Raw genomic sequence first — 25,689 nt, forward strand, 5'->3', positions numbered from 1 at the left:
AATCATAGCTCACTGAAGCCTCAACATGGGTTCAAGTGATCCTCCCACCTTAGCCTTTGGAGTAGCAGGGACCACAGGCACACGCCACCACACCACATTAAAAAAAACACAAAAATTGGATACATGGGGTCTCAATTTGTTGCCCATGCTAGTCTCAAATACCTGGCCTCAGGTGATCCTCCCGCCTCAGCCTCCCAAAGCGCTGGGATTACAGGCGAAGGTTCATTTTTCATCTCTCCATTACACCTGTCCACTCTGCCATCACTCGTCAGCCGTCATTACTAATAGATAAATTCGCCTTTAAATGAACTTAGGAAGCCTGGAAAGAAAAATAGGGACTTGGGCCGGGCGCGGCAGGTTATGCCTGTGATCTCAGCACTTTGGCAGGACGAGGCCGGAGGATGGCTTTTTAGTTTGAGTTAGAGGAGTTTGAGACCAGGCCGGGCAACAGCCCGACTCTACCAAAAAAAAAAAAAAAGTACAAAAAGAAAGAAAAAGAAGGAAAAACCAGGGCTTCACGGTCACTCAGACTTGGCGAGGAGGCTTGGGTCTGCCGCTTTCCACTGAGTTTTTCTGAGCTTCAGCGTTCTCTCCAAAACGGGGATACGGATCTCCTGGGGATGCTTTAGAGGGCCTAGGAGATAAAGCCTTGTTTCTTTTATAATTTGCTATTCGCTGATTTCGCCGCCTCCTCGCAGCTTGGCCTACCGCGCTAGTGTTCCGGACTAACGAACAAACGGCTCACTAAATTCAAACATGAGTTTCAGCCTGGTCGCCGAGCCGGCGGGTAGAAAAAACCTTTCCCCTCCTAACCCTCCGCAGATGTCGGCCCCGCACTCCGCCCAGGCCAGCCCTGCCTCTCTCAAGATGGCGACCTGGAAGTGCGTCGCCCGTGCCAGCCCCGGAAATCTCGTGTTAGGCGAGGTCAACGGGTAGGTTCTCGCGAGAGGACCCGTCAGCCCCAGTCAGGCGTCGTGCGAACAGCAGCTGGTACCGAAGGCGGAGGTGGAGCCCGAGAGGTAAGTGCGTGTGCAGAGGTGGCAGTTCCGGGCGCCGGGGAGGTGTAGAGAACAGATTCGGAAACTGGGGAGGTCTAGCATGTGGCGTAGGAGGGGGTCCTCACTCCGCTTCGCGATTGCCAAAACGAGCCTGCCGGAAGCGCCCTAAGGGGTTTTCTTCTCCCAGGGAACCAGCGGGGAAACTGAGGCTCGGGGTGGAGCGCAGGATTGTGGGACGCGCCAAGGCTGCTGTCTTTCCCAGCAGCAGCGGAAGATGTCGGACAGCGAGGACAGCAACTTTTCCGAGGAGGAGGACAGCGAGCGCAGCAGTGACGGCGAGGAGGCCGAGGTCTGTGGCTGGGGCGCTGGGGGAGACATTGCGTCTGGGGACAGGACTCCGGGCAGAAAGGCCCCTGTGGGAGGCTCGAGGGGTTCACAGCGGGCTCTGGCTTCTGGGAACTCCCAGATTGTCTCAAGAGATAGAGAATTAGGCAAGTCGAAGTCAAGCAAAGGGACAGGTTCTGGAGGCCAGAAATGGGTCAGGTCCAGTGAGATAACAGGTGATGTTTTGAAAGTTTACTCTGTGTGCATATAGTAAGCACTTAGCATTAGTTTTTTTTTTTAGTTATGTCTAGTCATTCCATAACTATATTTGTAGTGCCTACTATGTACCAGGCGCAATTCTTTGCTCTTAGGGTACACCAGTAAACAAAAAGATTTTAAAAATGTCTGCCTTCGGGAATGTAAATAAATATAGCCAAGGAATAAACTATATAGTAAGCTGGAAGGTACTCTGGAGAAAAGAACAGAAAAGGGGAATGGAGAGTCCTGGTTGCTCTTGAAATAGGGTCATCAGCATGAGTCTGAGGGGTGACATTTGAGCAAAAACTTGTTGGAGGTGAGGGAGTGAGTCGTGGTTAGCTGGAAGTGTAGTGTTCCAGTGAGGGGGACCAGCAGGTGCAGAGATGGGAGTGTGTCCGCCGTGTTCAGGGATTAACGAGGATTTGAGAGGCCAAGCTGGGAGGATCACTTGAGCCCAGAAGTTTGAGAGCAATCTCGGTAACACAACGGGACCCTGTCTCTACAAAAATATAAAAACCATTGGCTGAGGCCGGGCTTGGTGGCTCACACCTGTAATCTCAGCACTGTGGGAGGCCAAGACAGTGGATCACCTGAGGTCAGGAGTTCAAGACCAGCCTGGTCAACATGGTGAAACACCATTTCTACTAAAAATACAAAAAAATTAGCTTGGCATGGTGGCGCCCACCTGTAATCCCAGCTACTCGGGAGGCTGAAGCTGAGAATCGCTTGAACCAGGGAGGTGGAGACTGTGGTGAGCTGAGATCGCGCCACTGCACTGCAGCCTGGGCGACGAGCAAGACTCCGTCTTATAAAAATATTAGCTGAGCTTGGTGGCACGCTTCTGTAGTCCCAGCTACTTGGGAGGCTGAGGTGGGAAGATTGCTTGAGCCAGAAGGTGAAGGTCTAGTGAGCTGTGATGGTGCCACTGCACTGCAGCCTGGGTGACAGAGTGAGACTTTGTCTCCCCACCACCCCCTAAAAAAAGGGGGTCCACTTTGGTTGGATCAGAGTGAGTGCAACAAAGAATTTATGAGAGCCAAGTCATATAGGATCTTGAAGGCTGTGGTAAGGAATTTGGTCTTAACTGAGTAAAATGAAACCACGAAAAAGTTTGAGCAAGTGGAAGATGTGATCTAATGTTTTGAAAGGATCACTCTGGCTTTGGGTCTGTTGTACCTCTGTTCCAGGAACCAAAAAACCAACATTTCCTGGGGCATTTCTGATTTCAAATGTTCTTTTATTTGCCATTATCTTTTTTTTTTTTTTTTTTGAGACAGCATCTCACTAGGTTGCACAGGTTGGAGTGCAGTGGCATGATCTCAGCCCACTGCAACCTCAGCCTCCCGAGTAGCTGGGATTACAGGCATGCACCACCACATCAGGCTAATTTCTGTATTTTTAGTAGAGACGGGGTTTCACTGTGTTGGCCAGGCTGGTCTTGAACTCCTGACCTCAGGTGATCCACCCTCCTTGGCCTCCCAAAGTACTGGGATTACAGGCGTGAGCCACTGCACCAAGCCCATTATCCACCTTTTAAACTTATTTTTGTTTTATTTGTTTGTTGAACAAATCAGTGTTTGCATCTACTACTGTGTTCCACTTACTTCTCAGGTGTCTGGTAGGAAATCTTTGCATTTTTGGAGTTGACATTTAGTAGGTAGCAATCACAAACCAGTAAACAGATGACAGGGTGATTATAGATCCCTTGTTTGATGCACAGAAACTTAAATTGGCTGTTAAATTAGTTGCCAATGCTTGTGAGGGAGATTTAACATAAAGATTAAGATTTCTTTTTCTGGGGAAATGGAAGGAGCTGGCACCCTGGGACACAGAGTTGTTCTGCAGAGCAGCCGTTTGCTTGATGAGTGGCTGCCCTACTTATACAGCTGGGAATTTTCTCCAGTTCCCAGGATATGTTAGTTGCCATTTGTCCTCTTGCTTGCCTTGTGGCAGAGTGAAGAAAAGGAAAAGATTTCATGTGGCTGTGTTCTGGAAAACGTTTGGTAGATGGAGAGTGCTGTGTGTTTCGGGTGACTTGTCCCAGTCACTTATGTTGCCTGCTTATCCTCTGTGGACATTTGATTGCCAATCTTTATTGTGACCTTTGGAGAGTGCCTGGCTTCCAGGCTTGCAGTGAAGAGTTGGAGAAATTGGGATGCTGTGGTGGGAGAGTGACAGGGAGGGCCTTTTCTCTAAGCTGTAGCACTGGATTCTTGGTCTCTGATTCATGGCTTGGAGACACTGCTTGGTGGTTAAAGTCAGGTGGAAATGAGACCAAGATCCCCAGTTCCATTTCCTGTCTGGGACATTCTCGTTTGCACTGTTACTAGTCTCACTTCCCCAACACTACACCATACTTGACCCCCCACCCCCGCCGCTGGCTCCTCTTCAGTTACCAGGTGAGGCAAGAGGGCACTGTGAGGCCTGTCCCCACTGCCAGGGACAGGATTGGATGGCCTTTTCAGACAGCCAAATGATGACATGGTCCTTGAAGGACAGGGTTCTGTGGCTAGACAGGTAGGGATGGCAAATAATGAGCTACTTTTGAGGGGAGCTGCTGGTTCACCCATCATGGCTCCAGTAACCTGTTCATTTATTCATTCAACAAATGTTCTGGCTGGGTGTGGTGGCTCACGCCTGTGATCCCAGCACTTTGGGAGGCTGAGGTGGGTGGATCACGAGGTCAGGAGATTGAGACCATCCTGGCTAACATGGTGAAACCCCGTCTCTACTAAAAATACAAAAAATTAGCGTGGTGGTGGGTGCCTGTAGTCCCTGCTACTTGGGAGGCTGAGGCAGGAGAATGGCGTGAACGCAGGAGACAGAGCTTGCAGTGAGCAGAGATCGCACCATTGCACTCCAGCCTGGGAGACAGAGCGAGACTGCATCTCAAAAAACAAAAAACAAAAAACAAATGTTCCTTGACTTGGCATGTTGGGGTCACAGTCTCCCTTACAGAGATCTCAGTCTCAAGGCAGAGGCAGTTTTATAGATACACAGTTACTGCAGGGGATGTTGAGGACGGTGAGAGCACATCCAAGCCCTGAGGTGAGCAGAGAGTGGTGGGGGCATCCTCCACTGGGAGGGAGGAGCCAGGTTTGGAAAGAGGCATCTCTGGGACCTGTCAGAGGGGAACTGATGACAAGGTTCCTAGAAATCAGCCTGTGGTCCTGTCATAGTTTGGGTTGTTAAAATGTGCTTCATCGTGGGCTAGTCGAGATTTGTGTTAAGCAAATATTTCTGAAGTCTTCTGTGCTTGGCCTTGGGCTGGGTGATGTTGGGGGACCCAGCAGTGCCTGAGATGGACTGGGCCCTACTATTGGGAGGCTCACAGTGGTCAGGGCTGTGATGGAGGGAGCCCAGAGAATTGTGAGCATAGAGGATGTGCCTGACTCTGCCTGGGGGAGAGGGGGCGGGGATGGCTGCCTGGAGGAGGAAGGTTAGTTTGGTTTTTTTTTTTTGTCTTGGTGTCTTGCTCTGTCACCCAGGCTGGAGTGCAGTGGCACGATCTCAGCTCACTGCAGCCTCCACCTCACGGTCAAGCAGTTCTCCTCTCTCAGCTTCCTGAGTAGCTGGGATTACAGCGGTGCGCCACCACACCTGGCTGATTTTTATATTTTTGGTAGAGATGGGGTTTCACCATGTTGGCCAGGGTGGTCTCAGAACTCCTGACCTCAAGTGATCGCCTACCTCGGCCTCCCAAAGTGCTGGGATTACAGGCATGAGCCACCACGCTAAGCCTTTTTTTTTTTTTTTTGAGACAGGGTCTCACTTTGTCACCCATGCTGGGGTGCAGTGGTGTGATCTCGACTCACTGCAGCCTCAGCCTCCTGAGGATCAAGCAATCCTCCTGCTTCAGCCTCCCAATGAACTGGGACAACAAGATTTTGCCACCATGCCTGGTTAAGTTTTGTATTTTTGGTAGAGACAGGGCTTTGTCAGATTGTCCAGGCTGGTGTCAAACTCCTGGGCTCAAGTGATCCTTCTACCTTGGCCTCCCAAAGTGTTGGGATTACAGGTGTGAGCCCCCATGCCTAGCTAAGGAGGGAATATTTTCGTTGAAGTGTGAATGGGAGGCACAGTTTTTTTTTTTTGGAGATGAAGTCTCACTCTGTCGCCCAGGCTGGAGTGTAGTGGCACAATCGCGGCTCACTGCAACCTCTTCCTTCTGGGTTTAAGTGATTCTCCTGCCTCAGCCTCCTGAATAGCTGGGATTACAGGCGCATGCCACTGCGCCCAGGCCCAGAGGGGACTTTTTATACAGAAAACCAGCATGGATGATGGCCAGCACTGAGAGAGTATGGTCCAAGTAGTTGAGTGCAGCTGAGGCCTAGTGTTGGGGAGGCAGTCCTGAATGGTGGGGAACGGGGAGAGGCAGCAGGCAGAGCATGTGCTTCTAGTTCAGGCTGGCTGAAGCTGAGCAGGGGAACAAATGGTCAGGTTCATGTTTTAGATTACAGTTTTCTAAGACTGTACCATATATTCTAGGTTGGGGATGATGAAAGGTGCTTTTAGGTGGAATAAGGACAAGACCTTAAGCTACATTGAATCATTTAGTGAGAATATTTCCTTTTCAGTTGTGTGTCTTATCTTGATTGGGTCATGAGAAAGTTTCATCTTAGTGCTACTGTGTCTTGAACGCCTCTGGGTGGGAGAACAGGCCTTAGGCTTAGAGCCTGCAGCAGGCAGCAGTATCTTGCTGGGTCTTAATAACATTGTTTTGCTTTTATCTTTATAGTTACCTTGTGTTTATGACAAACCTTCAAAAAGTTTTAAATTTTGAAACATTGCATAATATAAAAATGTTTTTATTTAAGAAGGTGAGTAGATTTGAAGAAAATACACATTGAGTATTATCTAAAATGCTTGGGACAAGAAGTGTTTCAGATTTTGGATTTTTTTTTTTTTGATTTTGTAATATTTGCTGTGGAGCGTTCCCTAATCTGAAAATCCAGAATGCTCCAGTGAACATTTACTTTGAGCATGACCTTTTTTTTTTTTTTTTTTTGAGACAGAGTCTTGCTGTGTCGCCTAGGCTGGAGTGCAGTGGTGCGATCTTGGCTCACTGCAACCTGTGCCTCCCAGGTTCAAACAATCCTCCTGCCTCAGCCTCCCAAGTAGTTGGGACTACAGGCGTGCCACCATGCCTGGCTAGGTTTTTTTTTTTTTGTATTTTTAGTAGAGATGGGGTTTCACTATGTTGGCCAGGCTGGTCTTGAACTCCTGACCTCAGGTGATCCGCGCGAGCCACCGCGCCCAGCCTGAGCATGACCTTTGAGCATTATGTCAGTGCTGAAAAAGTTTCAGATTTTGAAGCCTTTCAGATTTCAGTTTTTTGTTTGTTTGTTTTTTTGACAGTGTCTTGGTCCATTGGCCAGGCTGGAGTGCAGTGGTACAATCTCGGCTGAGTGCAACCTTCACCTCCCAGTTTCAAGCGATTCTCCTACCTCAGCCTCCTGAGTAGCTGGGAGTACAGGTGCCCACCACCGTGCTGGGCTAGCTTTTGTATTTTTAGTAAAGACGGGGTTTCACCACATTGGCTAGGCGGGTCTTGTACTCCTGATGTCAGGTGATCCACCCGCTTTGGCCTCCTAAAGTGTTGGGATTACAGGCATGAGCCACTGCACCTGACCAGATTTCAGATTTTTGGATTAGGGATGTTCAACCTGTATTAGGTAAATGGATTGTAGTAATGACATGGAAGAAGTCGTGAAGTTCATGAGTTAAAGACTGAAGTTTGGTATGCATCCATTAATGTTGTTTCTGGTATGGAAAGAGGGATTAGAGGCCAGGAGAGTAGGGAGGAGGCTGGGGTAAGGATCCAGGTGTTAGAGGGCAGTGTCCTGGCCTAGGCTCAGATATATGGGGCTGGGGGAAAAGGATGGGTTGGAGAAATGATGTTTACAGGCAGAAAGGATGAGGATTTGGTGCCTGTCGGTAATTGGAGGAGGCCATCACAGGTCTAGGGGAAGACACTGAGGTCAGTTTGGGACACAGTGAGTATGAAAGGGCTCAGAGGCCATCTAGGGGAGGCATCCAGGATGCTGCTGGTGCATGGAGGTCTTGAGTTCTGGAAAAAAGTGGGACTCTATAGACAGATGAGGACACGTGTCATCTCTAGAGACAGGAACTGAGGTCATGGAAAGTAAAATGGACAGGGAGAGAGGGCATGGAGGGAGAACAAAGTGGCCCTGGACTGAGCCCTGGTAATTGATGTCAGATTTGAAGGGGTTAACAGTAAGAGGAGCTTGAAGAGGAGCTGGTGGAGTTTTGAGAAAAACCAGGAGAGCATGATACGGCAGAAGCCAAGAGAGGAGCATTTCTCCAGGGAGGGCATGGTTGGGGTGCCAGATGCTGCTGGGATGGTAGGGAATACAGAATGGCCACAGAATTAGCAACAGGGGTGGCCAGTGATCTTCGTGAGCAGTGTGGACTAGAAACAGAGATGGGAGTCACTGTCACAGAGATGTCCACCACCGCCAAGGGAGAGGACGAGATGGCCTTGGGGAGTTGTAGAATGGGAAGAGATGGGCCAGGTGCTGTGGCTCACACCTGTAATCCCAGCATTTTCGGAGGCAGAGGCGGATGGATCACCTGAGGTCAAGAGTTCGAGACCAGCCTGGCCAACATGGTGAAGCCACGTGTCTACTAAAAAAATACAAAAATTAGCCAGGTGTGGTGGCGCACACCTGTAATCTCAGCTACTCAGGAGGCTGAGGCAAGAGAATTGCTTGAACCCAGGAGGTGGAGGTTGCAGTGAGCCAAGATTCTGCCATGGCACTCTAGCCTGGGAGACAGAGTGGGACTCTGTCTCAAAAAAAAAAAAAAAAAGAGAGAGAAAGAAATGAGGCCCAAGGACCAAGCTTCATCAAGCTATTATAGTTAAAGACTCGGTGGAAAGTGAGCAAGAGGTCTAGTGCAGGGAGAAGCCCGGGTCAACTCCCAGGGTTGCTTGGGTGGCTGGGGAGATGGCAGTGCTGTCGCTGAGATAGGATGGTAACCAGAGAGGCCAGGCTAGAGTGAAAGGGATATATGCAGAGCAAAGTGGGCTATGATTGGCCAGGCCAATCTGAGGTCAGATTTAGGGTGAGGAACTTGGTTTTTGGATTTTTGGGGTAGCAGAATTCTGGTGCTACAACCCTGCCTGACCCCTGTAGGTAGACGAAGAGCGGCGGAGTGCAGCGGGCAGTGAGAAAGAAGAAGAGCCTGAGGACGAAGAGGAGGAGGAAGAGGAGGAGGAATACGATGAGGAAGAGGAGGAAGAAGATGATGACCGACCCCCCAAGAAACCCCGCCATGGAGGCTTCATTCTGGACGAGGCTGGTATGTCATAGTGCTTGGCCAGTGCCGAGCAGAGGCTGAGCTTCTACTTTTAGTTCCATTTCTTTTTCTTTTTTTGAGGCGGAGTCTCGCTCTGTCGCCCAGGCTGGAGTGCAGTAGCATGAACTTGGCTCACTGCAAGTTCATGCCATTCTCCTGCCTCAGCCTCCTGAATAGCTGGGACTACAGGCGCCCGCCACCACGCCCGGCTAATTTTTTCTATTTTTTAGTGGAGACGGGGTTTCACCTTGTTAGCCAGGGTGGTCTCAATCTCCTGACCTCGTGATCTGCCCGCCTTGGCCTCCCAAAATGCTGGGATTACAGGCGTGAAGGACCAAAGTTCTTAACTTTTCTCGTGCTACGGCCCCTTCTGTAGTCTGGTGAAACCCTGTTCCCTTCTCAGAATCATCTTCTGAAATGCATAAAACAAAATACATAGGATTCCAAAGAGGACAATTTATTGAAGTACAGTTATCAGAATATTTAAAAAGAACATTTTGGTGCATATGTTTCTTTGTTAACATATTTAGGTAATAAGACTTTGTAGGTAGTCTGAGAATCTAATTTTCAAGTAGCAGTGAGTGTAAATGCTGCCTTGAGATACCTATAGCTGTAATGTGCTGTGAAAGAGCCAGTGACACAGCTAACATTGTGTGGTTTGTTGCCATTGTATGTAATTGATGTAAATGCTAAATTTCAATTCCAGGTTACTGAAAATAGGAGCTGTAGTTTTTTCATCGAACACAGACCACCCCAGATGAAAAATCTCTGTTCTACGTGTTAAATCCCTGTTAGTCAAATTGCTAGGTAAAGGTGGTGCATTTTGTTGTTGTCGTTGTTTTTTTTTTTTTTTTTGAGACGGAGTCTCGCTCAGGCTGGAGTGCAGTGGTGCGATGGCTCACTGCAACCTCTCCCTCCTGGGTTCAACTGTTTCTCCTGCCTCAGCCTCCTGAGTAGCTGGGACTACGGGCACGTGCCACCATGCCTGGCTAATTTTTTATATTTTTAGTAGAGACAGGGTTTCACTGTGTTAGGATGGTCTCGAACTCCTGACCTTGTGATCCGCCCGCCCTGGCCTCCCAAAGTGCTGAGATTACGGGCGTGAGCCACCATGCCTGGCCGCACTTTTTTTAAAAAAAGATTTTTTATATTTACGGCCAAATATCAGTTCCTAAAAAGATAAGACTAGTTCATACTTCCATGATGATAATGAATGTGCATGTTTTCCCTTACCTATGGGAAGAGGGGTTACTTAGAACACATCCTGCCTCTGTTTTCCTGGGACTGTTTTACCTGAGAAGAAAAGTAGTTTATTGTCAAAGGGACAGGAGGTGCTCTGGATGTTCTTGGAGAGCAAGAGAATGGATACCATGCTGGGTAAAAGCTGTGGGTTCCCAGGGACACCCATATGTTGGTGGTGGAAGTGTTGGTGGGCACTGCCTGTGTGGAAGGCTGTGTGGCAGTGCCTGTTAGCATTTAACATGCAGGAACCCTTTGACCAAGCAGTTCCTCTTTAGAATTTACTTTATGGTTAAACTTGCATGAGTGCATGAAGACCTGAGAACAAAGATGCTTGTTGTAGTCCTGTTCGCAGTTGCAAAAGTTTGGTGACCTAAATGTTTATTGATGATTAGGGCCTGGTTAAACAAATTATGGGCCATATAGTATATGAGGCATGTGCTGCTGTGGGAGAGCTCTGAGTTAGTAGTAGTTTTGAGAAAAAGAAAGGTACAGAACGGTGTGTTAAAAAAATTACGTGGGGGCTGGGCGTGGTGGCTCATGCTTGTAATCCCAGCACTTTAGGAGGCTGAGGCGGGTGGATCATCTGAGGTTAGGAGTTCGAGACCAGCCTGGCCAAGATGGCGAAACCCTGTCTCTACTAAAAATACAAAAATTAGCTGGGCGTGGTGGCGGGCGCCTGTAATCCCAGCTACTTGGGAGGCTGAGGCAGGAGAATTGCTTGAACCCGGGAGGTGGAGGTTGCAGTGAGCCGAGATTGCTGCACTCTAGCTTGGGTGACAGAGCAAGACTCGGTCTAAACAAAAAAAATTACATGGGGGGAACATAGTGGTGGCGGGGTGGATTACATGCATTTCTTTTCTTTTCTTCTTTTTTTTTTTTTGAGATGGAGTTTCGCTTTTTCACCCAGGCTGGGGTGCAGTGGTGCAATCTCAGCTCACTGCAACCTCCACCTTCTGGTTTCAAGTGCTTCTCCTGCCTCAGCTTCCCGAGTAGCTGGGATTACAGGTGCCTGCCACTACGCCCAGCTAATTTTTGTATTTTTAGTAGAGACAGGGTTTCACCATGTTGGCCAGGCTGGTCTCGAACTCCTGACCTCATGATCCACCCACCTTGGCCTCCCAAAGTACTGGGATTACAGGCGTGAACCACTGCGCCCCGCCTCTTCTTTTTTTTTTTTTTTTTTTTTTTAAGACGGAGTTTCTCTTGCCCACCCTGGAGTGCAGTGGTGTGATCTCGGCTCACTGCAACCTCTGCCTCCCGGATTCAAGGGATTCTCCTGTCTCAGCTTCCCGAGTAGCTGGGATTATAGGCGTGTGCCACTAATTTTTGTGTTTTTAGTAGAGACGGGGTTTCACCATGTTGGCCAGGCTGGTCTCGAACTCCTGACCTCAGGTGGTCCACCCATCTCGGCCTCCCAAAGTGCGGGGATTATAAGCATGAGCCATTGTGCCCAGACCTTTTTTTTTTCTTTTTTCTTTTTTTTTTTAAAGACAGGATCTCACTCCGTTTCCTAGGCTGGAGTTCAGTGGCATGATCATGGCTCACTGCAGCCTCTACCTCCCAGGTCCAAGTGATCCTCTCACCTCAGCCTCCTGAGTAGCTGGGACCACAGGTGTGCATCACCAGGCCTGACTAGACTGTTTTTTTTTGTTGTTGTTGTTGTTGTTGTTGTTTTTGAGACGGAGTTTCCCTCTGTTGCCCAGGCTGGAGTGCAGTGGTGTGATCTTGGCTCACTGCAACCTCCACCTCCCGGGTTCAAGCAATTCTCTGCCTCAGCCTCCCGAGTAGCTGGGATTACAGGCGCCCACCACCATACCTGACTAATTTTTTGTATTTTTAGTAGAGACGGGGGTTTCACCATGTTGGCCAGGCTGATCATGAGCTCCTGTCCTCATGATCCACCCGCCTCGGCCTCCCAAAGTGCTGGGATTACAGGCATGAGCCACCGTGCCCAACCCTAACTAATTTTTTAAGTTTTTGGATTTAGGAGGTCTCACTATGTTGCCCAGGCCGGTTTCAAACTCCTGGGCTCAAGTGATCTTCCCACTTCGGCCTCCCAAAGTGTTGAGATTACAGGTGTGAGCCACCACGTCCAGCCTTACATGGATTTCATATATGTACACAGATATCTCTAGGCAAGAAACTAGTCACGGAGTTGCCTTTGGGAGAGGTTACTGAGATTCTAGGGGTTAGAAATGTGAGGGAGACTTAATTGATACTTACATCCTCTATGGACATTGGAGTTTTTCATTATGTGCATGTATTACGTTTTTAGTGTAATGTTTGATACCTGCAAAGCAGTACATCCAACATGGTAAAGAGATTAAGTACATGGACCATGGAGCCAGACTGCCTCTCTCAGATCCCAGCTGAGTCTGTGGGCAAGTTCCTTAATCTCTCTGGGTCTCAGAGCCTTTGCTGTAAAATAGGAACAACGATAGTGCCTCCCTCGGGGTTGCCAGGAAGATCAGTGAGGAACCTGTGTCAGGTACTCAGAACAGGGCAGGGTGTATAGTATGCTCTCAGCATTAGCTGTTATAAATGTACAAGAATCATAAAACCAACAGACCATGAACCATCTTTTAAAAAACTATTTATTGATCATTTTCTGATAGTTGGGAGGGAACTTTTCTTTTTGCTTACTTTGATCTTAGTTTTTTAAAAGGGATTTGGGAGTGGAGTAAGGAGAGGGGATGACTTTTAGAGTTAGTTGGAGCTGTATGTCCCCCTCGATCCTGATGCGTGCACCAGCTCTGTGGCACGGCCCCAGACGAGTGCCTCCCTGTTGGAGCCTCAGTGTCCTGCTCTGTGCGGTGGGGATTTGTAGTGCACATCTCCCAGAGGAGATGCTTCGTGTCCTGGGAGCTGTTATGAGGTCACCTTTGCCACTTACCACTTGGCCTTTCCGTTTTAGATGTTGACGATGAGTATGAGGACGAGGACCAGTGGGAGGATGGAGCAGAGGACATTCTAGAGAAAGGTGTGTGTGAGCCCTGCCTCCACAAGACTACTGGGAAGAGGGTGGCTGAGAGGGTCTTCAGAGCCCATTCCCCCGACCCCCGCATCCCCTGTACACCCCAACTCCCACCGTCCTCACCTTGCTTCTTTCTGTCCTTCCCAGAGAGACCAGCTCCCTGCTTTTTCCTTTTAGGCCCATGAGTGGGGGGTGGGGCCCTGGGGTGGGGATGTTGTGGGGAGAGGACTCTGGGATCCCAGGGCCCAGTGAATCCCTTCTGGGGTTGTAGGGTGGGCGAGCTCTGTCCCAAGATACCCCCCACTTCCTGGGCCAGTGCCCCCCTTTCCCCGTTATTTTCCGTTCTGTGCGCCTCATACATTTCGGCTTCTCCCCAACCACCTGGTGCCTGGCCTTTACTTTTGGTTTTCAACCTTTCTGTGTCCCTCCCTTCCCCTCCCCCAACCCATTGGTTGATTTTGCTGCTATAATTTGGCTCATACTTTGTCTGCCCTCGCCCACCACCACCACCACCACCACCACCACCACCACCACCACCACCTCCTCTTCCTCCAAGTAGAAGAGATTGAAGGTAAGAATATGAAAAGTGTGATTCCCTGACCTTCCTCCCATATCCTGACATTTCCTCCTTCCTGAGGCACCTGCCCTCACCGGTAGCCTCCCCACCAGCCCCGGTCTGGCCCTGAGGGCTCTGACCCATGTAGGATCCAGAGTCAGGGAGTTCTGGGGCCAGGTATACCCCAGTTGTTGACCTGGGAAAGCACGGATGTGTCTGTCTGGGACTGAGCATTTGTGGGTGGTAGCGATGTGTGGGGTGGGGTGCAGTCCAGGGTGTGCCTGGACTTTGAGATGGGAACAGCTGGAAGCCCCCCAACTTGCTGGGCCCCATCCCCAGTCTTTTTGACAAGAAGCAGGATGCTGAGTAGGACAGAGTAGGGGATGAGGGGTTGGGATTTCCTCTGTGAGATGTCATCTTCCTGCCCCAGGGCCAAACCCTGGCCCTCTTAGCTGCACGCTCCTATTTTCTCCAGGCCCCTGCCCTCCACCTGCCCTTGCTCACGCCCTCTGCCCATTATTTTTCAGCCTCCAATATCGATAATGTTGTCCTGGATGAAGATCGTTCTGGGGCTCGCCGCCTGCAAAACCTCTGGAGGTGGGCAAGGAAGGGAAACGTGGTGGGATTGGCTCCTGTGGGGAGATTTGGGAGTAGGTCAGCCCACCTGCTGTCCTCAACCTTCAATTCGTGTTTGCTTCCCCACTCGTGCTCCAGGGACCAGCGAGAAGAAGAACTGGGCGAGTATTACATGAAGAAATACGCCAAGTCATCTGTGGGAGAGACGTAAGGGCATGGTGGGGGCAGGTGGGGGCAGGGAGCAGGTGGTCCCTAAGCGGGAAGGGGCGGGGATCTGACAGAGCTTCACCCCTTCCTGACTGCCCTCCTCCCTTCAGGGTGTATGGAGGATCTGATGAGCTCTCAGACGACATCACCCAGCAGCAGCTGCTCCCAGGAGTCAAGTAAGGGGGTTGGGATGGTGGGGGCCGTGCTGGGGTGCGAATCTTGTATGGGGTGATGGTGCCTAGACAGGTGGCTCCCTGAAATAAGTCAGGGCAGAGTCACACAGGCAGTGTGGTGGATGGCAGGGGTAGGGAGGGCAAGGTGGCACTTTCTCTTTCCTCTTGCTCCTGGGTAGAAGCGTGGGGAAGTCAGTGAGTGTGAGGGAACCTGGATGTGAAACCAGAGGAAGGGGGTGGCCCTGGGGGTTCGTCTGTTTGTTACTGAAGATCCAGCTTCACTGAAGGCCTTCCTTTTCCTCTGCTGCTTAGGGATCCCAATCTGTGGACTGTCAAATGTAAGGTATGTGCTCTGATCTCGGGGCTTGGAGGAGGTGGGAGAATGAGGGAGGCTGCTTTGTGGGGGAGAAGTGTCTGTCTGTCCCGGGTCTCCGTGGCCTGCCAGTCACTTGGTCCTTCTGTCTCCATCCCTCACTCCACGTTACTGACTGGCTATCTCCCACCTCCATCTTCCTGGCTGTCCATCCTTCTTTCTCTCTCCTCTCTTGGTCCTACTTTATTTTTCTTGCTGCTGTCTCCTTCCCCCTTTCCTGTGTCCTTTCCTCCATCCTGTCATCTCTCTCAAATCTGCCTCTCATCTTCCAGATTGGGGAGGAACGGGCCACGGCCATTTCCTTGATGCGCAAGTTCATTGCCTACCAGTTCACAGACACGGTAAGTCGGGTAGACAGGCGGCTTGGTGGGGAGACATGGCAACACCCAGAGGGAAGAACATTGTCAACTTCAGGGGTACCAGGTGCCTCTGTTGTGAGCAGAGCTGCCTGCTGAGTGAGCTGCTTGAGCTGGAATAAGACCACTGCCTAGATGGAAGGGCTCTTCTCGGCCTAGATGGATATGTTGTCTTTGTTCTCTGCATTTATGGCAGGGTCTTCCCACCCTTGTAGCCCTTTGGAAGTCAGCCAGCTAGCTTCCTGCACCTTTTCTTCATGAGAGTGGGTTTGCCTGTTCACCAGCCCTGTTGGGCTGGGGTCACCCACTTCACCACATGCCAGGCAGCAAATGCTGCATCCAAGGCCCAGGTCTTTCTTTAGACTGACAGAGTTTGAGTCCTGCCCTTGCCACTTCTTAGCTGTGTGACTCTGATGCACCTACTTCCCCTCTCTGGGCCCCTTGGTTGCCTCTCAGCATCATTAGGATTAAGTGGCTTTTGGCTGGGTGCAGTGGCATTCACCTGTAATACCAGCACTCTGGAAGGCTGAGGCAGGCAGATCACTTGAGGTCAGGAGTTTGAGACCAGCCTGGCCAACGTGGTGAAACCCCGTCTCTACTAAAAATACAAAACTCAGCTGGGCGTGGTGGTGCACACCTGTAGTCCCAGCTACTTGGGAAGCTGAGGCAGAATCACTTGAACCCAGGAGGCAGAAGTTGCGGTGAGCCGAGATCGCATCACTGCACTCCAGTGTGACAAAAAAAAGGATTAGGTGGCTTTATGTCCAGCTCTCAGCTAGGACTTGTTCTGCAGCTTGCATTTACTTAGCAGAGCTGTTGTCAAAGGCTTCATTGGCAGTTTGGGAACCAGGGCAAACGCTATGAAGGGTGCTGGCTGGTAACTTTCTCAGTTAACATGATCCCTGCTAGGGATCATGCTTTCACCTGTCCAGCCACTGGGTGTGACCCAGTGGGACCAAGTAGACAGTTGTAGGGTTTGCAAACTATGCTTTTAAATGTGCTCAAATGTCCTCCTCAAAGGCCGGCCATGGTGGCTCATGCCTGAATCTCCAGCACTTAGGGAGGCTGAGGTGGGTGGATCACGAGGTTAGGAGTTCGAAACCAGCCAGTTTGAGACCAGCCTGGCCAACATGGTGAAACCTTGTCCCTACCAAAAATACAAAAATCAGCTGGGCATGGTGGTGCTTGACTGTAATCCCAGCTACTTGGGAGGCTGAGGCAGGAGAATCACTTGAATCTAGGAGGCAGAGGTTACAGTGAGCCAAGACTGCGCTATTGCACTCCAGCCTGGGCGACAGAGTGAGACTCCGTCTCGGGGTGGGTAGGGGGTGGAATGTCTTCCTCATTATTATAGTAATAAGTGTCCCTGCCTGTCATGGGTGAGATTGGGATTTGTGGGGTATGATTCCCCAACAGGGAGGTTGAAAAGGTACCTTTTGGCTAGGTGTGGTGGCTAATGTCTGTAATACCAGTATTTTGGGAGGCTGAGGCAAAAGGAGTTCGAGGCCAGCCTGGACATCATAGTGACATAGTGACAACTGATTTCTACAAAGAAAATAATAATAGGCCGGGCGCGGTGGCTCACGCCTGTAATCCCAGCACTTTGGGAGACTGAGGCGTGTGGATCACCTGAGGTTAAGAGTTCGAGACCAGCTTCACCAGCATGGTGAAACTCCGTCTCTACCAAAAATACAAAAGATTAGCCAGGGGTGGTGGTGCATGTCTATAATCCCAGCTACTTGGGAGGCTGAGACAGGAGAATTGCTTGAACCCAGGAGTTGGAGGTTGTAGTGAGCCAAGCTCGTGCCACTGCACTCCAGCCTGGGCAACAGAGCGAGACTGTCTCAAAAAAAAAAAAAAAAAAATAATAATAATAATAATTAAAAGAAGTGTGCTCAAATCCTCCTACATGGTACCCTGGGGTAAAATTCTAGTTACTTCATTTGAGTTATGTCTCTGATTATTATTTTTTTTTGAGACGGAGTTTCACTCTTGTTGCCCAGGCTGGAGTGCAATGGTGTGGTCTCGGCTCACTGCAACCTCTGCCTCAGCCTCCCGAGTAGCTGGGATTATAGGCATCCGCCACCATGCCCGGCTGATTTTTTTGTATTTTTAATAGAGACGGGGTTTCACCATGTTGGCCAGCCTGGTCTTGAACTCCTGGCTCAAGTGATCCACCCGCCTTGGCCTCCCAAAGTGCTGGGATGGCAGTTCTGAGCCACTGTGCCCAGCCTAAAATTTAATTTTTTTAAAGTGTAAACTGTGGTGGATTTTATATATTGTAGTGTATTCATAACCATCATCACCATCTAATTCCAGGACATTTTCATTATCCCAAAAATAAACCGATACCCATTAGTCATCACTCCCCATTCCTCCCTCCTCACAGCTCCTGGTAACTATGAATCTACCTTCTTTCTCTGTGGATTTGACTATTGGAACTCTGAATGGTTCATACAAAGGGAATCATACAATATGTCGCCTTTCGTGACTGACTTGCTTCACTTAATGTTTTCAAGACTCATCCATATTGTAGCATATATCAAGACTTCATTTTTTTGTTTGTTTTTTTGAGATGGAGTTTTACTCTTCTTGCCCAGGCTAGAATGTAATGGTGCAGTCTTGGCCCACTGCAACCACTGCCTCCCAGGCTCAACTGATTCTCCTGTCTCAATCTCCCAAGTAGCTGGGATTACAGGCACCCGACACCACGCCTGGCTAATTTTTGTGTTTTTAGTAGAGATAGGGTTTCAGCATGTTGGCCAGGCTGGTCTCGAACTCCTGACCTCAGGTGATCGGCCCACCTCGGCCTCCCAAAGTGTTGGGATTACAGGCGTGAGCCACTGTGCCCAGCCTTAATTTTCTTTTTTTTTTTTTTTTTTGAGACAGAGTCTCGCACCGTTGCCCAGGCTGGAGTGCAATGATGCGATCTCGGCTCACCGCAACCTGCACCTCCCGGGTTCAAGCGATTCTCCTGCCTCAGCCTCCCAAGTAGCTGGGATTACAGGCACCCACCACCATGCCCAGCTAATTTTTTTTTTTTTTTTTTTTTTGGTATTTTTAGTAGAGATGGGGTTTCACCATGTTGGCCAGGCTGACCTTGAACTCCTGACCTCAGATGATCCACCCCTCAGCCTCCCAAAGTGCTGGGATTACAGGCATGAACCCACTGCGCCTGGCCAACCGGCCTTAATTTTTGTATTTTTAGTAGAGGCAAGGTTTCACCATGTTGGCCAGGCTGGTATTGAACTCCCGACCTCAAGTGATCCTCCTGCCTCGGCCTCCCAAAGTGCTGGGATTACAGGCATGAGCCACCGCTCCTGGCCTTTTTTTTCTTTTAGTTGGTATTTACAGCTATACATTTACTTCTAAGCATGGCTTTTTTCAAATCTCATAAGTTTTGGTATCTAGGAGTGTGTTGCCATGTATTTGTGAATTTCCTAAGTATCTTTCTGTTGGTTTTTAACTTCATTACATATGGATGGAGAATATACTTTATATGATTTTAGTTCTTTTATGTTTACTGAGACGTGTTTTATGGCCTAACCTGTGGTTTATTCTGGAAAGTTTAATATGCCCTTGAGAAGAAAGTGCATTCTGCTGTTGTTAGATGGAGTGTTCTTTTTTCCCATTTCCGCTTAATAAGTGGAAAGTGAAGACGAAATGTTCTGTCTATAGCTGGCTATTAGGTTTAGGTGGCTTACAGTGTTGCTCAAGTGTTCTCTTTCCTTGTTGATCTTGGGTCTAGCTCTATCCATGATTGAAAGCAGGGTATTGCAGTCAGTGATTGTTACTGTTGAGTTGTCAGTTTCTTCCTTCATTTTCATTAGTTTCTGCTTCATGTATTTTGAGGCTCTGTTAGTTTCATATACATTTGTAATTCTATCTTCCTGATGGATTGACCTTTTTATTGTTACAAAATGTTTTTTGTTGTCTCTGGTAGCAATTTTTGTCTTAAAGTATATTTTGTCTGATGTAAGCACTCCTTTCTTGGTTCTTCTTCTAGTTGCTTTTTTTTTTTTTTTGAGACGGAGTTTTGCTCTTATTGCCCAGACTGGAGTGCAATGGTGCGATCTCAGCTTACCGCAACCTCCACCTCCCGGGTTCAAGCGACTCTTCTGCCTCAGCCTCCCGTGTAGCTGGGATGACAGGCATGTGCCACCACACCCGGCTAATCTTGGATATTTTTAGTAGAGACAGGGTTTCTCCGTGTTGGTCAGGCTGGTCTTGAACTCTTGACCCCAAGTGATCCACCCGCCTCGGCCTCCCAAAGTGCTGGGATTACAAGCATGAGCCACCGTGCCCGGCTCTAGTTGCTTTTTTACACAGAACATATGTTGGATAGCTTTCTATATTAGTACATACAGGTTAATCTAATTTTTATTTTATTTTTTATTTTTAAGAGACAGGGTTTCACTCTGTTGCCCAGGCTGGAGTGCAGTGGTGCGATCTCAGCTCACTGCAGCCTCAACCTCCCGGGCTCAAGCAGTCCTCCCTGCTCAGCCTCCTGAGTAGCTGGGACTACAGGCATGTGCCATCACACCCAGCTAGTTTTTGTATTCTTTAACTGCAACATTGTATTTCATGGTACATTAAGCCATAAGTTAACTAGTTACTGTTTCTGGATATTTTTAAAATTTTTAGTCTGGTTTGTTTGCTGTGATAAATAATTCTGCAGGGAACACCTTTGTGTCCATGTCATTGTGCCAGTGTGTTTCTGTGGAATAAATTCCTAGAAGAGGGACTGCTGATGAGTGGCAGTCATTTCTGTTATTAGCCGTTGTGTCTCACTGTTTCCTCCTTCCACCGGCTCACCCTGCAGCCCCTGCAGATCAAGTCAGTAGTGGCACCAGAGCATGTGAAGGGCTACATCTACGTGGAGGCCTACAAGCAGACCCACGTGAAGCAGGCCATTGAGGGGGTGGGCAACCTGCGGCTTGGCTACTGGAACCAGCAGATGGTGCCCATCAAGGAGATGACAGACGTGCTCAAAGTGGTGAAGGAGGTGGCCAACCTGAAACCAAAGTCCTGGGTCCGCCTCAAGCGGGGCATCTACAAGGATGACATTGCTCAGGTGCCCGGGGCGGGGTGGCATGGGGGTCAGGGTCCCTCCATTCTGTTCTCCCTTCCTTTCCTTTTGTCCTTCCCACCCTCTTTGTGCTGCAGAGAATAGAATCCCACTCAGATGAGTTGAAGCAGAGCCTGGGTTTTGTGAGCACACAGGAAACGGTTGGCTGTCTTCTGTGCACATTCCCAGGCGTGTTGAGTAAAGGTCTGAAGGATCGGAGGGCGTGAGGCATGTGGAGCTCTTGGGGAGGAGTGTTGTAGGCAGCAGGAGTGGCCTGTGAGATAGGATGGCACAGTCACTGGCTACAGCAGGGATGGCGTGAGATGAGTTAGGGAGCTCACGAGGGCCTGCGGCCCATTGGAGAGCTTTGGTGTTTACTGGCGTAGGATGGGAGGGCTGTAAGGGACACAGGCAGACTTCAATGTTAATAAGATTTCTCTGGTGACTGTGTTGAGACTAGACCACTGGTTCTCAAGCCAGGGTGATGTTTCCCCAGGGGACATTTGGTAACGTCTGGAGACATTTTTGGTTATGTCAGCTGGGGAGGGGGTTGACGATTATGGCATCTAGCAGGTTAAAGCCAGAAATGCTAGACACACACATCCTCCAATGCACAGGATGGCTGCCCACAACAAAAAATTACCTGGCCCAAAAAGTCAATAGTGCCAAGGCTGAGAAACCCGGGAATAGCCTGGAGGGGGCCATGGGCAAGAGCGTGGAGACCAGGGAGGAGGCTGCTGCTGTAGCACATCCCACCCAGATGGCAGTGCTGGTGGGATAGGACCAAGACCCTAATACACGTTGAGTGTCTCTAACCTGAATTCTTGAGACCACAGGTGTTTTTCAGATTTCAGATTTTTTCAGCTTTTGGAATATTTGCATTATACTTACCGGTTGAGCATCCCAAATCTGAAAATCCAAGAGTGAGCATTTCCTTCGAGCATCATGTTGGTGCTCACAGGGTTTCCTATTTTTGAGCATTTTGGGTTTTTGGATTTGGAATGCTGAGACTGCAGTGGAGGAGGGGAAGAGGTCAGGTATTTTGAAGGCAGAGCTGATGGAATTTGCCAACGGGTCGGGTGTGGGTGTAAGAGAAACAAAGGAGTCAAGAGTGGCTCCCAGGTTGTGTGCCTGAGCAGAGGGAAGAATGGAGTGGGAGGCGGCAGGTTTGGGGGAATCAGCGGTTTGGCTGCGGTCGTCCTGGATTTGAGGGACCTTTAGACATCCAGGTGGAGATACCAAGCAGGCAGTGGCTACTCAGTGCCAGAGTTGAGGGGACAGACAAGCTAGCGTGGGACTTTTGGGAGTGGTCAGCAGCCTGGTTTCTTCCCCACCATCCTGCGTCCCTTCTCCTTCCTAGCATCTCCTGACCCTTCTTGTGTCTGGGGTCAGGGAGGAGAGTGGGGCCCTGCTGACCTTCTGCTCGCCCTGCTCAGGTGGACTACGTGGAGCCCAGCCAGAACACCATCTCCCTGAAGATGATCCCACGCATCGACTACGATCGCATCAAGGCCCGCATGAGCTTGGTACTCAGGGGAATCTGTGGCCTGGGGGGGAGGGAGTGTGCTCGATCCCACTGGTGGCCAAGCCCCCTCCCTCACCCTTCCCACCCATGCCCCTTTCCTCCATAGAAAGACTGGTTTGCCAAAAGGAAGAAGTTTAAGCGGCCTCCACAGAGGCTGTTTGATGCTGAGAAGATCAGGTGCGTGTCCTTGGGGACTGGCTGGGCTGGGTCCCCAGGGCCGGTGTGTAGAATGTGCCTTTTGCAGGTTCCTCCCCAGGGGTGGCCCCGCCACAGGTTTAGCCTGTGAATTGGTTAGCTTGGCAGTATAGCCTCAGGCAAGTCACTTCACATCCCTGTGCCTCAGTTTCTTCTGCTATAAAGATTGATGAGGCTGGGCGCAGCGGGAGGGAGCACTTTGGAAGGCTAAGGCAGGAGGCTTGCTTGAGGCAAGGAGTTCGAGACCAGCCTGGGCAACATAATGAGATCCCATCTTTTAAAATAATAATAATAATAAAAAGAAAAAAGTTAAAAAAATATTTAAAAAGATTGATGAGGCTGGGCGTGATGGCTCACACCTATAATCCCAGCGCTTTGGGAGGCCGAGGCGGGCGGATCACTTGAGGTCAGGAGTTCAAGACCAGCCTGGCCAACATGGTGAAACCTTGTCTCTACTAAAAATACAAAAATTAGCCAAGGGTTGTGGTCAGCTCCTGTAATCCAAGCTACTTGGGAGGCTGAGGCAGGAGAATCGCTTAAACCCACGAGGCAGAAATTGCAGTGAGCCGAGATCGTGCCACTGCACTCCAGCCTGGGTGACAGAGCGAGACTCCGTCTCAAAAAAAAAGAAAACAACCTCTGCTTCCTCAGATTATAGATTATAGTGAGAATTAAATAAATTAGTATGCATATGTACTCAGAATGCCCTTGGCACGTAGTAAGTGTGATCCATGGTGTGATATATTGAAATGGGATTCATGGACTATGTCAGGCTTTAGAAAGTCTCCTTTCCTGATCTGCTTATGCCCACTTGAGATGGGGGGGTATGGAGTGCCTTTCCCTCAGGATGCCCCCCAGACTCCCTAGCTGGGTAGAGAATTGGAGCAGCCCAGGAATTTCAACATCCCAGGGCCAACTGGGGGCTCCGGCAGGGAGGGCAGGAGAGGAGGACATGGAGAAACGAGAGGTGCCAGTGACACTCTTCCCTCTGGTCCTGTTCTAGAACTAATTGTGTGTGATTCAGCCAGTCAGGTTTTCCTTCAGATAAAGGAAGAGCTGTGGAATGCACCTTTGAGTCTGCACCCAAGGGCCTTGCTAATACTTCACCTGCCTGAGTTCGGACCCATTTATACCACTGGTTTCGACTCACCTGAACCTCTCTTTGCAAAGAACAAACCCTAGTGCTCCCTTACCCCCCAGCAAGCCAGCTGACCAAGTACCCCAGCATGCCCAGCAGAGCATGCTGGCCCCTCTCCCAGATTCACCATGGGAGAAGGCGATTGCATGAGCGCAGGAGGAACTTGACCTGCTCCTCCATGAAGGAGGCTCCTTCCCCACCCCGGAGACTCGGAACAGGCACTAAGCGGCCGCCACTCCACATTTGGGGCCGGGAGCTGCAGGCTTGGGAGTCCCACCTGCCTGCTTTTGAATCCTGTCAAGACTGTGGCTTGGCACCCTTGGGCATGTGATGTGACCTTCCTGAGCCTGCATTCCCTCACCTGGAAATGATGAGCAGTTACTGATGCCACAGATTTGGGGAAGAGCCTGTGAGGTCATGAGTGTGCAGGCCAGGCTGAGCGCTCTGCGAATATTCACTGGTATCATTGTCTGAAACTGTTATTTTGTTCAGCTAATGTTTACTGCATACTTTCTGTGTACTGGGCACTATTCTTGGTGAAATTTAGTGAATGTTACATCCCTGACCTTCTGGAGCTGACATGCTAGTTAGGGGGACAGGTCAAACACTAGATTGTCAGATGGTGATCGGTGCTCAAAGATAAATCAGGGAATGGGTGGAGGAGTGCAGGGAGGTGGGAGGCGGGCCTTTGGGGTTTGTGAGAAGTCACTGCTGCCAAGAGGGTGTGTGCTGGGATGGGATGGGTCAGTCTGCCTGTGGTCCTCTCCTTCTGTTGCCAGCTGAGAAGACTGAGGTACAGCAAGATTTTCTTCTTGACTCTCCCTTCTAATCTTCTCTCCCCCATCAAATTCCAGGTCCCTGGGGGGTGATGTTGCCTCTGATGGTGACTTCCTCATCTTTGAGGGGAACCGTTACAGCCGGAAGGGCTTTCTGTTCAAGAGCTTCGCCATGTCTGCTGTGGTGAGGGTCCCAGAGGGGTGTTGGTAATGGGGGTGGTGTGAGTGTTCTCCTGCAGGTGATGCCCTGGGCTGTGGGTTATCTGGTTCTGTCCCACTCCTCAAGTTAGGAGTGTTCCCTAGGAGAATTATTCCCCTAGGACCCACTCAGCCCACTCAGCTGGGCTGTTGCACTGACCTCGGTCCATTTCCTTCTCTTCCCCTCACCGCTGGGGGCTTAGATCACGGAGGGTGTGAAGCCAACACTCTCTGAGCTGGAAAAGTTTGAGGACCAGCCAGAGGGCATTGACCTGGAGGTGGTGACTGAGAGCACAGGTATTTGATCCCCCTCTATAACCTGGGCCAAGGAGCAGGGGCGGCCCATGGTGGCAACCCCCGAGTCAGCCCTACGACTGCCCCTGCAGGGAAGGAGCGGGAGCACAACTTCCAACCTGGGGACAACGTGGAGGTCTGTGAGGGTGAGCTCATCAACCTGCAGGGCAAGATCCTCAGCGTGGATGGCAACAAGATCACCATCATGCCCAAGCATGAGGACCTCAAGGTGGGTGCCCGGTGTTCTCGGGCAGGGGTTGGAGTGTTCAGGCACATCTGACTGTATGTGGCTGTCGAGGCGGTGGTGTGCCTGGTGACACCTGGTTTCCAGGAGGGTAAGTTGAGGCCCTTCTAGCATTCTCAGGTGCCTGAGAGGCTCTGTCTGAGTGCAGCTCAGGGTCGGTGGGCAGCAGGCCTGCCTGGTGGTGTCTGTCTCTGGAGAGTGACTTGGTCTATCTTTTGTTTCTGAAAAGCAAGATATCTGGGTAGTACTGGGTTGAGAGTGTGATTAACCAAGGAGTAATCTGAGGCTTGACTTTGTTTGCTTAGAGCGGGGTGTGTGTTTGTCTGTGTCTGGTGTATGTCTGAGGGGTTGTGCAGGCCCAGTGTGATGTGTGGGGTGAGGCTGTCTCCGGGTGGGGCTGAGGAGCTGTCCAGTCGGGGGTCCTGTGTCTGAGGGGCAGGCTCTCTGTGTGGGTATAGGTAGGCATCGTGTGTCTTGAGGGCGGGCTGGGGTAAAGGTTGTCCAGGTTGGTGTCCTGTGTCTGGGGTCAGCTGTTTCTGGGGCAGTCTGAGGGGTCGTCCAGGTGGACTAAGGTAGTCTGGGGTGGGTGGTAAGAGCCTGAAGTGGGGTTTTTGAGAACATGCGTAGATTCTGAAGACAGGAGGGGCAGGCAGGTTGTGGTGGTCTCCCTTCACCTGTTTGTTGTCCCCACACCCAATCCCCCAGGACATGTTGGAGTTCCCAGCCCAGGAACTTAGAAAATACTTCAAGATGGGGGACCACGTGAAGGTGATTGCTGGCCGATTCGAGGGCGACACAGGCCTCATTGTGCGGGTGGAGGAGAATTTCGTTATCCTGTTCTCTGACCTCACCATGCATGAGGTAGGTGGATAGAAGGGTCGGGGAAGGGTGCAC

The 25,689-nt window shown here is 50.2% G+C and overlaps 1 protein-coding gene and 1 non-coding gene across 7 annotated transcripts in view, besides 5 other annotated features; both read left to right on the forward strand.

Annotated features, from left to right (window-relative positions):
- Positions 207-1,004: an enhancer, noted in NCBI's record as "H3K27ac hESC enhancer chr19:39935465-39936262 (GRCh37/hg19 assembly coordinates)". NCBI's record gives its function as "activates a minimal SCP1, AML or CMV promoter by ChIP-STARR-seq in primed H9 embryonic stem cells {active_cell/tissue: H9 hESC(primed)}" and the evidence as "EXISTENCE:reporter gene assay evidence [ECO:0000049][PMID:30033119]".
- Positions 207-1,033: a biological region, named in NCBI's record as "H3K27ac hESC enhancer GRCh37_chr19:39935465-39936262".
- Positions 764-1,033: an enhancer, noted in NCBI's record as "active region_14621". NCBI's record gives its function as "activates an Ori minimal core promoter by ATAC-STARR-seq in GM12878 lymphoblastoid cells {active_cell/tissue: GM12878}" and the evidence as "EXISTENCE:reporter gene assay evidence [ECO:0000049][PMID:35858748]".
- Positions 964-25,689, forward strand: part of SUPT5H (SPT5 homolog, DSIF elongation factor subunit) — a 31,089-nt gene continuing 6,363 nt past the window's right edge. Inside the window, exons 1-17 of one of the 6 annotated variants that reach the window (NM_001111020.3) lie at positions 964-1,019; positions 1,186-1,347; positions 8,738-8,903; positions 13,057-13,122; positions 13,676-13,687; positions 14,200-14,269; positions 14,387-14,455; positions 14,566-14,631; positions 14,941-14,971; positions 15,274-15,342; positions 20,180-20,431; positions 21,862-21,951; positions 22,057-22,127; positions 24,138-24,243; positions 24,461-24,554; positions 24,644-24,780; positions 25,501-25,656. In NM_001111020.3, coding sequence (NP_001104490.1) covers positions 1,273-1,347; positions 8,738-8,903; positions 13,057-13,122; positions 13,676-13,687; positions 14,200-14,269; positions 14,387-14,455; positions 14,566-14,631; positions 14,941-14,971; positions 15,274-15,342; positions 20,180-20,431; positions 21,862-21,951; positions 22,057-22,127; positions 24,138-24,243; positions 24,461-24,554; positions 24,644-24,780; positions 25,501-25,656 — 1,530 coding nt within the window. In that variant the 5' untranslated portion in view covers positions 964-1,019; positions 1,186-1,272. The other 5 variants (NM_001130824.2, NM_001319990.2, NM_001130825.2 and 2 more) reach the window with 5 other exon arrangements.
- Positions 1,005-1,801: an enhancer, noted in NCBI's record as "H3K27ac hESC enhancer chr19:39936263-39937059 (GRCh37/hg19 assembly coordinates)". NCBI's record gives its function as "activates a minimal SCP1, AML or CMV promoter by ChIP-STARR-seq in naive H9 embryonic stem cells {active_cell/tissue: H9 hESC(naive)}" and the evidence as "EXISTENCE:reporter gene assay evidence [ECO:0000049][PMID:30033119]".
- Positions 1,174-1,393: an enhancer, noted in NCBI's record as "active region_14622". NCBI's record gives its function as "activates an Ori minimal core promoter by ATAC-STARR-seq in GM12878 lymphoblastoid cells {active_cell/tissue: GM12878}" and the evidence as "EXISTENCE:reporter gene assay evidence [ECO:0000049][PMID:35858748]".
- Positions 23,604-23,675, forward strand: SNORD175 (small nucleolar RNA, C/D box 175). The gene has a single exon (NR_145805.1). It is a non-coding gene; the product is annotated as a small nucleolar RNA, C/D box 175 (small nucleolar RNA).

This window comes from Homo sapiens, chromosome 19 (assembly GCF_000001405.40).
Source record: "Homo sapiens chromosome 19, GRCh38.p14 Primary Assembly".
In the NCBI taxonomy this organism is placed as follows: Eukaryota; Metazoa; Chordata; class Mammalia; order Primates; family Hominidae; genus Homo; species Homo sapiens.